This window comes from Homo sapiens, chromosome 6, assembly GCF_000001405.40.
Source record: "Homo sapiens chromosome 6, GRCh38.p14 Primary Assembly".
In the NCBI taxonomy this organism is placed as follows: domain Eukaryota; kingdom Metazoa; phylum Chordata; class Mammalia; order Primates; family Hominidae; genus Homo; species Homo sapiens.
This window is the reverse complement of record NC_000006.12, coordinates 25,463,733-25,477,845: the sequence shown is the minus strand read 5'-3', so window position 1 is coordinate 25,477,845 and position 14,113 is coordinate 25,463,733. Positions and strand designations below refer to the sequence as shown.

Sequence of the window (14,113 nt, the reverse complement as noted above, 5' to 3'; positions counted from 1 at the left end):
GAAGAAGTGAGGACAGACATTTCTGAAAAGGCTGAAATCATAAAAACTAAGGTAATTGGGACAGATAACTAGGAAAAACAGAACACAGAATTTGCAATGCTTAGAGAAGTAAAGCATAAATGTACACACATATATTAGTATTAGAAAACTAAAACTAAAGTTTCCCCTGAACAATGTACTCTGACATTTTCTGTTCTATTCCACTGCTTTAAAAAAAAAAAATTGCTTGTCATGAACTATTAAATTGATTTCACAGCCAGCTAATGGGTCTTCACCCACAGTCCAAAAAAACACTGTGTTAGATGAAGACCAAGAGCAAGCTGGTGAACAGGCATGGCCTGGCAACAAGGATAAGAATAGCTTGTGTATGTGTGTGGTCTGTTCACCATCTTGTGTTGCTCTTGCAGAAAGAGAGCAGGAGGGTATCTAGCATTTGAAGGATTACTCATACACATTATACCTCTGCTTACTAAGTCATACTCGAACCTCCTTTACCACAACCCCCTCAGCAATCAGAAGACTGCAGGCCTGGTCCTCTGTACATAGATGTGAAAATAACAGAGATTTGCTGCATCAACATTCATATCATACAACTCTTTGAGAGTTTCCAAATAAGTCCCTGAGTGGAAGGTTTAGGTACAAAACCACATTCCATTTGCTGTTTAAATTCCTCAGAATTCCTGGCCACTTAACTGTTAAGACCTTATCTCCCTTGTTTTTTTTTTGTTGTTGTTTGTTTTTTGTTTTTTTTTTTTTTTGAGACGGAATTTCTCTCAGTCGCCAGGCTGGAGTGCAGTGACACAATCTCGGCTCACTGCAACCTCTGACTCCCTGATTCAAGCGATTCTCCTGCCTCAGCCTCTCGAGTAGCTGGGATTACAGGCACACACCACCACACCCAGCTAATGTTTGTATTTTTAGTAGAGATGGGGTTTCACCACATTGACCAGGATGGTCTCAATCTCCTGACCTCATGATCCGCTAGCCTCAGCCTCCCAAAGTGCTGGGATTACAGTCGTGAGCCACCGCGCCCAGGCCCTTGTATTTCTTTGAGCTTCCTTACAAATAATAGTCCTGGCTTAGTGTTTTTTATATCCTGTATAACTTAATTATAGACCTCTCATTCACCCTTTTTATTAGTTTTAAACACAAAATACCATCACTGAAAAGCTTGGGAACAAAAATTACTAAAAGTTTTCTCTAGATTGAAATTTCAATAAATATTTTACACTCAATTAGATTTCTTGTGGAATTTCCATCCATGAGCAGAAAAGCTACCAATCATCTTCAGGTATTTAGCCTGAATGAAAAGAATAAAGAATTTGTGTTCAGGAGGCTCATCCCCAAGAGTAAAGAAAGGTGGGAGATATGAATGTTGGCAGTTGCCTGTGAGCACTGGCAAATACAGCAATGAATGAATTTAGAAGAGGCAGAAATGAGAAAAGTCTTGGTCTGCGAAAATATTTCCAGGATGTCAAAATTTGAGGGTATGTGAGCAGAAACCACACAACAGACTTGGCAGGAGCATTCAAGGCTATCCTTGGAATGATTCATGATGACAGCACTGGTGAATGGGACGCAGCTAGATAAAAGGACACAAAGTCAGGTCTCAGGAGTAGGAAAGCAGAGGGAAAAAGTAGGCAAACATCATCTTTGAACACATGGTCTGACTCTATCCAAAACAAATCTCTCAAACTTCACCGTAATTTTCAAGTGCAAATAAAAAAACTATACAAGAGCATTAAGATTGAATAAAATCAAATCAATCAAATTCGATTTAAAGAAAATATTTGTTGATTGTGGACGAAGTCTTACACTAGACACTTTGCATCTTAGGAAAGAAGGAAGGGGAGACAGAAAACCCAGAAGGTGGGGATGAGAGGAAGCAAGGTGCTGAAGCATGAGGGAAGAAATGTCCACCTCTAGTTCTCATGTGGGCAGAATGAAGTAAGTGCTATTATGGAAGTTTGCACAGGAGCTCCAAAGTGAGGGCAAGACAGAAGAAACTGCACCTGTGGTGACAAGTTGTCTAATGTGGCTGCACCTCAGAGAACATGAAGCGGACAACGGGAGAGAAAACAAAGGGCCTCAAATTCATTCTTCCTCTTCCATCTCCCCAAACAATGTGTGGTGTTTTAAGTCTAGCTTCTTTCACTCAACAGTGTTTTTGAGGTTCATCCATGATGTGGCATGTGTCAGAATTCCATTCTCTTTTGAGTAGTATTCCAGTGCACATATTATATATACCGCATTTTATGTAACCACTCTCCAGTGATGAACATTTGGATTGTTTCTACTTTTTGACTATTATAACTAATACTGCTACAAACATTCATTCACAAGTCTCTGTGTGGACCTAAGTCTCCTTTCTCTTTGGTGATAAAACTAGGAGTGGAATTTCTGGGTTATATGGCAGATTTGAGTTTAACTTTTTTTTTTTTTTTTGAGACGGAGTCTCACTCTCTCACCCAGGCTAGAATGCAGTGGCTCGATCTTGGCTCACTGCAAGCTCTGCCTCCCCAGTCACCATTCTCCTGCCTCAGCCTCCCGAGTAGCTGGGACTACAGGTGCCTGCCACCACGCCCAGCTAATACTTTGTATTTTAGTAGAGACAGGGTTTCACAGTGTTAGCCAGGATGGTCTCGATCTCCTGACTTCGTGATCCACCCACCTCGGCCTCCCAAAGTGCTGGGATTACAGGCGTGAGCCACCACGCCCAGCCAAGTTTAACTTTTTAAGAAACTATCTAACATGTTTTGCATGTGGCTGTACCATTTTACACTCCCACCAGCAATGTAGGAGTTTCCATTTCTTCACATCCTTTCTAAGACTTATTTTGATTATTGCCACACTACTGCTTTTGAAATGGTACCTCACTGTGGCTTTGATTTGCATTTCTCTAAACACTGAGAAGTGTCCCCTTCCTGGTCCATCTTAACTCTAGATTTCATTTGCTTAAGAACCTTCCTCAAACAACTACCTCCCTCTAGAGATTTTTTCTTGTCTGTCGATAAATATGACTGAATCCTTCCCATTTTAAAAACAAAACCAAAAATAGCCCTCCTATAAACAGTGATCACCATGATTTCTACTTTGTCACATTCACCTCTCTGTAGTATCTAATAGAGAAACATTTGTTTTTCCTAAGAATTGAGTATACCCTAGAGAAACTCCTATTCCATTACTATGCGTCCATTAATTTCAGCTTTGGCTTATTCTATGAGGGTACTTTTTGCGTGATCTAGTTTTCTAATTCAGTCTCAACCTTCCTGTAGATTCACTACTTTAGATGATGACAAGTTACGCTGGAGATTTTTGCTTGAATACAACCTAGGTATCTTTGTCAGCACAGAACAATAACCATATTAAGGACAAAAAGAAAAACTGAACATCTATATCATATATTCAGCTCAGTTTAATAATTAATACTCAGCTGGGTGCGGTGGCTCACGCCTGTAATCCCAGCACTTTGGGAGGCCGAGGTGGGTGGATCACGAGGTCAGGAGTTCGAGACCAACCTGGCTAACACGGTGAAACCCCATCTCTACTAAAAAAAAAAAAATACAAAAAATTAGCTGGGCATGGTGGTGGGCACCTGTAGTCCCAGCTACTCGGGAGGCTGAGGCAGGAGAATGGCATGAACCTGGGAGGCAGAGCTTGCGGTGAGCCAAGATCGCGCCACTGCACTCCAGCCTGGGGGACAAAGCAAGACTCCTTCTCAAAAAAAAAAAAAAATTAATACTCATCAAATATAACATTGAAAGGTGAAAGGCCTTATTCAACAAACCTGGAAAACATTTGCAACAGAAAATGAAAACAAAATAGTCCCACTAGAGATAAACCAATTCCTTCTTAAACCTTGTCCATCAGTGTTCTACTAAGAATTCAAATTCTCAAGTTTCCCTTTCTAAACCTACTGACTCCTCTCTCTACCCATGCAAACACTTTTAATAAAATGTTCTGACTCTTCGTGAACTACAGTCCTTCATCCTTTCCCTATTCTCACACTCAAATCTTGTTAAATATTAAAAGATAATAGTGGTAAATAGAATTCTAAGATAGTCCCCAAGATTCTCACCCCCGGGTGTATACGCCCTGTGCAATTTCCTTGAATATGGGGGTGGGGAGCAGTAAATATACTGTTGACTCTTGAACAACATGGGTTTGAACTGCACTGGTCCACTTCCGTGTGGATTTTTCTCCACCTCTGCCACTGCTGACACAGCAAGATTAAGGCCTTCTTTTCTTCCTCCTTCTCCTCAGCCTAGTCAATGTGAAGATGACCAAGATAAAGACCTTTATGATGATCTACTTCCACTTAATGAACAGGAAATATATTTTCTTATTCTTATGATTTTCTTAATAAAATTTTATTTAGCTTAAAGAATACAATATATAATACATATAACATACAAAATACATGTTAGTCAACTTTTTATTGGCAAGGCTTCCAGTCAACCCTGCTATTAGTAGTTAAGTTTTGAGGGAGTCAAAAGTTACATGTGAATTTTTGGTTGCTTGGGGTCAGTGCCCCTAACTCTTGTGTCGTTCAAGGGTCAACAGTAATGAGACATCCCTACCATGATTAGGTTACTAATCACTTGACTTTGAGTTCATGAAAAACAGGGAAATTGTCACGGGTGGGCCTGATGCAGTCAGGTGAACTGTTTAAAAGAAACTAAAGCATCAGAGAGATGTACTCCAGCTGGCCTCACACACAAAGCAAACTTCTGTGTTGTGAGATAGGGGGGTCACATGGCAAGAACCATTCTAGGAGCACAGCCTCTAGGAGGTGGGAGTGGTGCCCACTGACAGCTAGTAAGAAACTGGGGACATCGAGCTTATAGCTCCAAGGAAATTAATTCCACCAATAACCAGTGAACTTAAGGAGGACTCCAGGTTACAGATGAGAGCACAACCCTTGCTGACAACTTGCCTTGTCTTGAGAGACAGACCCAGAGCACAGAACCCAGCTAACCCGTACCCAGACTCCTGAGCCAAGGACAGTATGAGATAATAAATTTGTATCATTTTAAGCTGCCAAGTATGTGGTAATTTGTTATGCAGGACTATGTAACTAATAAAACATATTAAAAATAATATCTTCCTTTCCTTTTGTTTCACTTCAAAAAAGGTGAAGCAGATCATACAATTGTAACATAAGCATTTATATGAAAGGGTGGAAAGAACTGGAAGCCAACAGGACCATTAACAGCACTTATAATTACAACTTAGCTTGATACAGCTCTTCAGGCATGGCTAAATTAAAATTCTCTAATCCTCTTACAATTCTGGCATCAATGATAATGAGAACTCTGCAGTACCTCTATCCTCCAGTGGGTTGCCAGCAAGGTTAATTGTGTGGAGTCCTGAGTTGGGATTATGTGCTAGAGCACTGGCCAGTTTTTGTGCAAAATCTCTGCGTGTAAACAAAACAATAAGATTAAATAACAAAATGTAAAACCATTCGAACGGAACATTTAAAGCTTAGAACAGAGTGAAATCTAAATAGAGAAACCTCCCTTACAATATTAGTCTATATAGCATATATTTCTTAATACCCATTAACACCTCATTAGAGAATTTGTAAAGCCACAGCCAGAAAACGGTTCATTCTGATTGGCCAAAAGCAAAAAGAAAATATACAATTGCCCCTTTAAAGGCACTCTGTTGTGTGCTATTAACAGTACTTTCTGGCCCCTCCATAATTTAAAAAAAAAAAAAATCCTGGATTGAACCTGCTTTTCATGAAAATTATAGTATTCACCACATCTTATTTCTCATTCCATGCAATTGTGAATGCAAAACTGATTACACTAATTATTAAGTTTAAAGGTTACAATTGCTAGTGCTACATTTTGGCAAAAATTAAAACCACTGTTTTAGTTATGTTTAACTTCAAATAATGTACTAAGTGCTATGATTATGAAACTGTCAACCCTCCTCACTTAGCAGTAAAATCTTTATTCTACTAGGTTCTAACTCTTATGCTCTTAACAGTAGGCTTAGGTAGTGACTACTAAACCACTAGATAAAGACTATGCAAGTGTTAACCTGAAAAGGGAGAAAAAATGACTAAAACTGATCAAAGCAAAGCAGTAAAGTCATATGAAATATGTTATCACTATGACCACCAGTAACGATAATAATTAAACCTACATATACCATCTACAGAGTAAAAGGCACTTTGCCAAGTACTTTAAATATATTAATTCATTTACCCTAGCAATTTTAATTCTATAAAATAGGCATTATTATTATCCCCATTTTAAGAGTGAAGAGAATGAGGCACAGAAAGCGTAAACAACTTGTGCAAGGCCAGGAGACATCTGGCTCAAGGATCCATGCTCTTAAAAACTATACTATGTACTCTCAAAAATATCAAGTGACACCGTTATCAAGAGATGTTACCAAATTCTTAGCCTTCATGATGATGGCAATTATAGGGATATTTTTTTCCCAGAAGGAAAAACATTGCTGTATATGTGATCAGCCCAATTAAAAAAAAAAAAAACTATGAATTAATTAGAAGAGCAAATGGCACAGAGTTTTAAAGCAACATATTTATATATTCAGGAAAATACTCACGTTCTAAGTCCAGCATTTTCCAACACCAATTCTTCCAGTCGATTGGACCTACTCACCACCCTCAAGATCTGTTCACAGACATCAGTGGACTGTAACAGAAAACATTCTTTGACTATTCCATAACTCTAAAGAAGAAAAACTTTATTGTTATAAATCTATGCAATGCAAAGTTTTAATTAAGTAAAACATTCACTCATTCAATAAACCTTGAATGAGCATCTACTACTACGCACCATCGTGATGAAGATCCTGGAAATACAATGATATAAAGGAGAAAGTCCCGGCCTTCAAGAGTGTGCCATCCAGCAGGGGAAACAGACAAGAAGAATGCTATGGTCAGAGTTTGTGTCCCCCGACCTCCCAAAATTCACAGTTAAAAACCTAATTTCCCCACTGTGATAGCATTAGCAATTAGGTGCCTTTGGGAACTGACTAGGTCATGATGGTGGGGCCCTCATGAAGGAATTAGTGCTTTCGTAAAAGAGGCCCCAGAGAGCTATCTTGCCCCTTCCACTTAGTAAAGACACAGCTAAAAGGCACCACCTGTGAACAAGAAACTGTGCCCTCACCAGACACCAAGTCTGCTGGAGCCTTGATCTTGGACTTCTCTGCCTCAAGAACTGGAAAATAAACCTGTTATTTATAAGCTACCCAATCTATGGCACTTTGTTATAGCAGCCTGAATGAAATGATAAAAATATACAATTATGATAAAATAATAAAAAGACCATTTTGGTAGTGCTATGCATACATATAGGTGCACCTAATCCAGGCTCATGAAACTTAGAGGACTTCCCAAAGAAAGTGACATTCAAAATGGAGAGCTGAAGACTAAGTGTTAGTGATTATGATAATGATGTTGAAAATATCTTTGCAGAGTTCTCACCATGTGCCAGGCACTGAGTTAAGCCCTCTATGTGTATTTCATTATAAAACCATTAAAGATTATTATTCCATTTTCATAGATAAGAAAATTAAGGTTTAAAGATGTCATAAACTTAATAGGAAGGCTAAATAAGTACTTGATGAACACTAACTGGTATTAGGATGTTCCTACTGGAGCATAAATAGGATAAAGTGGGAAACAACCTAATAATAGGAAAAAGCTTAATAAATAATTGTCTCATGTTAATAAACATGTCTCATGTAATAAAAAATGTCAAAAAAACCATTATGTAGTTATATAACTATTATGCATATATGTTAAACAAGATTACAACAATTAAAATGAGTAACTTATAACAAAATTTTCAGGGGACAGTGAAAAATGAAGAGTTGTGCCCTGGTGGTAGAATTGGGCATTTTTTTCTTTATTAATGTTTTTATATTTATAACCTGCTTCATTCCAAAACTAATTTAAAGTGGTTCTTGACCTTAATATTACTTATACATTAAAAAGTCATTTTGGCTTGTGCCTGTAATCCCAGAACTTTGGGAAACTGAGGAAGGCAGATTACTTGAGCTCAAGAGTTCAAGACCAGCCTTGGGAACATGGTGAAATTCCATGTCTACAAAATATACAAAAAGTAGTGGGGTGGGGTCCCAGACTGCGCACGCCTGCAGTCCCAGCTACTCAGGAGGGTAAGGTGGGAGGATCACTTGAGCCCAGGATGTCGAGGCTGCATTGAACCGTCATCGCACCACTGCATCCCAGCCTGGGCCACAGAGTGAGACCCCGTTTCACACATGCAAACACACACATACACATACACACACACACACACAAAGTGATTTTAAAATTCTCCTTGCAACCTAGGCTGTATTAAATACTTCATGATATTTAGAAAAAAGAGTGAGAGAAAGAAGGCATGTTCTATGTGCCACAGCATATAATATCAAAGCACTTTCTTTTCTTAAAATAGCACATAAAAATATTACAGTACTTTGACTTATCAGATCACAAATACCCAACTGGATTAACCATAATTGGAACACAGTCTGAATGTGGCACAAGTTCTCTAGCCAAGTATTTTTAAGAAAACCTAACTTGGATACACCCCAAGTACCACAGCATGTAAGGCTCTCATAATTCTTATTTGCTGTTTGATTCCATTCTGTCTATAATGCCACTTTTACACTATTGCTGGGTTTCTAATGTGTCCCACTGATTTAGGAGGAAAGAGAAAAATTAATTCCAATTGACCTGATGCCTACAATTTACATTATGCTGACAGTGATGATATTCAAAATGGTGACACCCTTATCAGTATAATTCTTTATCTCACAATGTACATACAAAGGAATTGGTCTTATTCTGTGTTGTCATGATAAAAAGTGATTACTTAGATAATGTTTTTGCAGCGATTATCCTAATAACCAGAAATAATTCTTGGGATCATTACCATTTCTGGGCTACCTTGCAGTGCACCCGGAAAAGTAATTTACCATAATGCTTTGAAGATTTATAGCTCATTGGGGTATAAATACTGTAATACAAATTTATTAAGGAAAATGTATGAAAGTGTCTCCAACTTTTCTTTAAAATGCCAGTAGGGGAGACGTGTAACAAATCATTCATGATTAAATTAATTCTACTAATTTTTATTGAGTGCCAAGTACATTAAAAGCATCATTTTCTACAGGGATGAATATAAGGAAATGAAACTTTTAAAGGGAGACACACTCAAACCTAGCTACTAAGTATAATGTGATAATTCCAACAGTGTTATCCAAATGTCTACAGCATGTGCAGCACTACGTGCATCAGTTTAGGAAATTTTTTAAAAACTGGATACAGTGGCTCTCCAGGAGCTTGCACTCAGTTAAAAATGGAATGTAAACAACAAAAACTAGAATCACTATAGAGTAATAAATGAACTATTGCAAAGTAAAATAATTTTTAAAAAATGGAACTTTAGAACTGAAAGAAACCGTATACATTATCTGGTGCCAGCATGTCATTCCCTAAAGACTAAAAAAAGATGCTCACCAATTTGCCTGAATTGCAAAACAGAAGAAGCTGAGCAAGACCCCAATTCTGCTGTTTTTTTTAATGAATCAAGAATGTTGGCCAAAAACATGGTCCTAATTGCATATTCGGTACCATTTTTTTTTTTAAAAATCCTTGACTCAAATTAGAAATAGTGATTGCTAATTTGCTTCATAAGATCAACATAAAGTCATATTTTTCCTGTGGCACCTTAGCACAGGAGGCTTTTATTGGACTAGGAACAATCTTAACCCAGAGAGCTCATATAACTTGAGAAGCAGCCACTTATTTTTGCCCTTGCACTTCATGTTTACAAAATCCAAAGATGTGCTTCTTCACATTGTCCTTTTCTTTGAATAAACCCAATGTTAGACAGTGCTCTGAGACTGCCCACTTCAGTACCAATCAAAAGGGGAAGTATCATTTCTTTTTAACTTTGGGTAAAAAACATCAAGAATTTAGTATTCTTTTTGAAGACCTGTAGAGTAATATCCACAAAGATCACTTCATTTTAAAATACCAAATATTAAAAATATATGCAAACTGTATTTTTGTGTTTAAATCTCAGTTAACAGAAAAGTGGCATAAGCAGCCCTCACATCCTGTCACTCCACTTCCTTCCATCCCAGGACACCCAAGAAAGCATACTAGCACTTACATGGTTTGTTTTGCCAGGACTGAAATGATTAGGTACATATTTTATGTCCTAAACATCTAAGGCAGCTGAAAGGAGATGATACCTGGGAGGAATAATGACAGAATGGCAGCAGCAATTGCCTGGACACCTTCCTGTAATTGCAGGTTGGGACACTCTCCAAAAGTGAGATATCCACAACCTTCTTGAAACCCTCTTGAGGCCCCATTTTGAAATTCACAAGCTTATGTAAATGTTTGAATGAGCCAGAAAAACTGACATGGTAGCAAACCATTGTTCTCTCTGTTCCCACAATCCCTGGACTAATCTCCTTCTCATTCCTCCAGTGGCTCCTCTTTCCCACCTGTACTCTTTGCTGGCTCAGTCCTGGAAATGGTCCCATCCCAGCAAGCAGCAAACAAGGGACTTCTATTCTTAGGTCTCCCATAATGGCTACCTGTCTGCTCCCTGAGAGCTCACCTGGATCCAACTCATGCCAACTCTCACTCCATCATCACTTCTCAGACACAACTCTTGTTTGAATTATATAGTTCACATAATTCATACTCTCATATTTGTTCATTTCTCAATCTCTTTGATAACTTATTAGACATCTACTTATTAAACCAATTTTTATTAAATAGTTACTATGAGCCACACATTCTCATAAGCACTGGGTAGAGATGAATAAGAAATGGTTCCAACTAGCTCACAATAACAGGTGTGCAGGAAGCTGAGGCCCTGGAAGGTCAGGTAAGTTATCTAAGGTACCACAGCCTTGTAATAAAAATTAAAATCTGAAATCCAGGTTTCTTATTCCAAGTTCATGCATTTTCCTCTACCATATTGGCTCTTAAGGGACCCCAAATGAGTTTAGTCCATTTTCATACTTATAATGTTTTAGGCCACCCCTACCCCAGGCAAATTCAGAGAACCAAGTCGCCTGCCCACTAGCCAGTCTCAACCCTCCATGTCCTACAGATCCACGTCTCATTCCAAGTCTGATGTATTCACTATGAAAATCTTAAACCCCTAGATTCTATGACCTCTGAAAGTTAGAGGCTTAAACGTGAGAGTCTCCAGGAAAACATATAAATTCTTTCTTATCCCATAACAAACACCAGAGAGTTAATTTATGTATAAGCATCTGTCCATATGACTGATATGAACTGGCAGCAACCCCAACACAGCATCTTATTTCCACTAATAAAATATACCAAATATTTTTCTCCTTCATATCTTATGAAAACAGATTTCACTTTAATTTCATTTTGCTTTCATATAAATCTACCCAAAACCCCATCTAGAAAATCAACATTAACTATCATTACTCGACCAGGGGAACTCTACCTGTTAATGTTTTCCTAAATTCCTAGGAAGGGAAACTTTGTAGAGACAGAGTGTAAGATAGGAATATAAAATCTGCTATTTGCAGCTGTGCAAATGTAACTTTAACAGTTTTTGCCAACTGAATGACTTTATACTAAAGGCTACACTAAATGTATCTTTTTGTTCATCTTCTTAAATTGCCCGAAACAGCTGAATACATGAGGAAATACTTGGAAGCATCTCACATTACAAATTTGACTAAATGTTACGCAAATCATTTAAAGGAAAATACCTCCTCAAGAAATAAAATGTATACAGCTTACTAGTACAGTAAAAAAATTGTTTTTTTCCCACAATTATTGGGTTTTTGAAATTCAGCAAAGCCAAGCAACATTTGCTGCATGTTTGATTACTTACCAGTTTTAGATCCTTAGAGGACAGTTTTGTGAACCACTGATTATATTCCAGAGCAGCAATGATAGGTATTAGGTCCCTGGAAGCAGAAACAACAAAGTACATGAAAGTGCTCCTACAGTAGCTACACTGACACTTAATTTTTAATCCATGACATCCAAGTTCACCTGTTAATTTCTATTATTCAGAAACACAACATCTAGTTGGCCACTAGACAACAACTAAGTTCTCAAAGACTGATCTTCAAAGTTCCCAAAAGTTGAAGTAAATTGTCTCTAGGGACTCTGTTTCCTACTTCCAAAGGAAAGAGGTTGGTATCAGAATTTGCTTGAAAAACCTCCTTGCTCTGAGAGAAATCCTACCTCTAAGTCCATACCAATAACAAGTCTTATTTCTTTAGATCTCTCCTTCATAAAATCTTTTTTTTTTTTTGAGACAGGGTCCCACTTTGTCACCCAAGGTGGAGTGCAGTGACGTGATCATGGCTGACTGCAGCCTTGACTTCCGAAACTCAAGTGATTCTCCCACCTCAGCCTCCCAAGTAGCTGGGACTACAGGCACGCGCCACCATGCCTGGCTAATTTTTGTATGGATGGGGTTTCCCCATGTTCCCCAGGCTAGTCTCAAACTCTTGGGCTCAAAGAAACTCAACCACCTTGGCCCCCACCCAAAGTGCTGAGATTACAGGCATAAGACACAGTGCCTGGCCTCCTTCATAAACTCTTTAACCATCAATTATCTCATATAGTATTCTCTAGTCAGAGGAGTTCATATTGCAAGCAAGGTACTGCCTACCCTGACAGTAAGTGGCACTGGATGGATTCCCAATGCTTAGCAAGCATTTTGCAACCATTTGGTCTTTTTTTTTTTTTTTTTTTTTGCTTTAGTTCTTAGCAGTGACTGCATCCATAAGATAGCCCAGGTGCATTTTTGTCTTAGGCTTCATATCAGCTCTTTGACCATGTAGTGAAGCTATCTGCATGACAGTTCTGCCTCCATTCCAATTTTGCAGCCTAAGCTCCCACAACTCATCCCATGCTCAAGACAAAAAGCTGACAACTTGTTACTCATCTAACATGATGTGCAATTTCACATTCAGAATAATCTTTTACTGCTCTGTTCAGTTATGAAAAACTATGTGTCCTTAAATGCCACTATTACACATCCTCACCTCCTTAAGTCCTCTCCTGGTCAAACCCCACCTCCCTTTTTAGCATTTATTTATTCTATCTTATATTATAGTTTGTTGCTTTAAGCATCAGTCCCCTACCACCCCCAATTATTCAATTCTTTGAAAACCAAGCCTTTGTCTACTTCAGTTTTTTAGCTTTAGTGAGGTCATATCAGTTTTATGCTCAGTGCAGGACAAGTAGCAGATACTCAGATTTTTACTGAAATAGAAGAGAAAGGCAGAAGGTGGAAAGAAGTCTGAGAATCAATATTATCTCATAGCTCTGGGTGGCCCGGCCCTGTGCTTGGCACTCTACATATACCAGTTCATTTAAATCTCAAAACAACCCCAGGAGTCACTGTTGTTTACATCTTACAGATGAAGGAATAGATGTTCAGAAAATAAACTGAAACTAGGCCAAAGGGACAGAACTACAGTCAGAACCCTGGCTCTGAAGCACCACATGTGTGCAGTTTCAATAGACATGCTTTAAAAAGATGAGATGAGTGCCCACAGATAGTAGAAAAAAAAAATCCAGAGAAATAGGCAGGCTCAGTCATGTGTTTCCACATGCCAGGTTTTCTACTGACAAGCCTCTTTACTAACTTTGCCTAAGTTTAAAATTTTTTTTAAGTTTTAGATTAAAAAGGAGAACAACTGGCCGGGCGCAGTGGCTCACGCCTGTAATCCCAGCATTTTGGGAGGCCGAGACGGGCGGATCACGAGGTCAGGAGATCGAGACCATCCTGGCTAAAACGGTGAAACCCCGTCTCTACTAAAAATACAAAAAATTAGCCGGGCGTAGTGGCGGGCGCCTGTAGTCCCAGCTACTCGGGAGGCTGAGGCAGGAGAATGGCGTGAACCCGGGAGGCAGAGCTTGCAGTGAGCCGAGATCAGGCCACTGCACTCCAGCCTGGGCGACAGAGCGAGACTCCGTCTCAAAAAAAAAAAAAAAAAAAAAGGAGAACAACTCTTTCAATAGTTATTTTATGGTCTTCCCTCTCTTCGTCCCCCTCCATTGACCACATGCTCTGTGCTCAGAACAAGT

General features: G+C 38.7%; 1 protein-coding gene across 20 annotated transcripts in view; it reads right to left on the bottom strand.

Moving 5' to 3' along the window:
* The window catches only part of CARMIL1 (capping protein regulator and myosin 1 linker 1), a 341,157-nt gene that overhangs the window by 142,685 nt on the left and 184,359 nt on the right, over nt 1–14,113 (bottom strand). For all 20 annotated transcript variants that reach the window (XM_017011008.2, XM_017011009.2, XM_017011015.2 and 17 more), the window contains 3 exons: nt 11,898–11,973; nt 6,589–6,677; nt 5,325–5,419 (listed from right to left, as the gene is read on the bottom strand). In XM_017011008.2, coding sequence (XP_016866497.1) covers nt 5,325–5,419; nt 6,589–6,677; nt 11,898–11,973 — 260 coding nt within the window. The remainder of the gene's footprint in view (nt 1–5,324; nt 5,420–6,588; nt 6,678–11,897; nt 11,974–14,113) is intronic.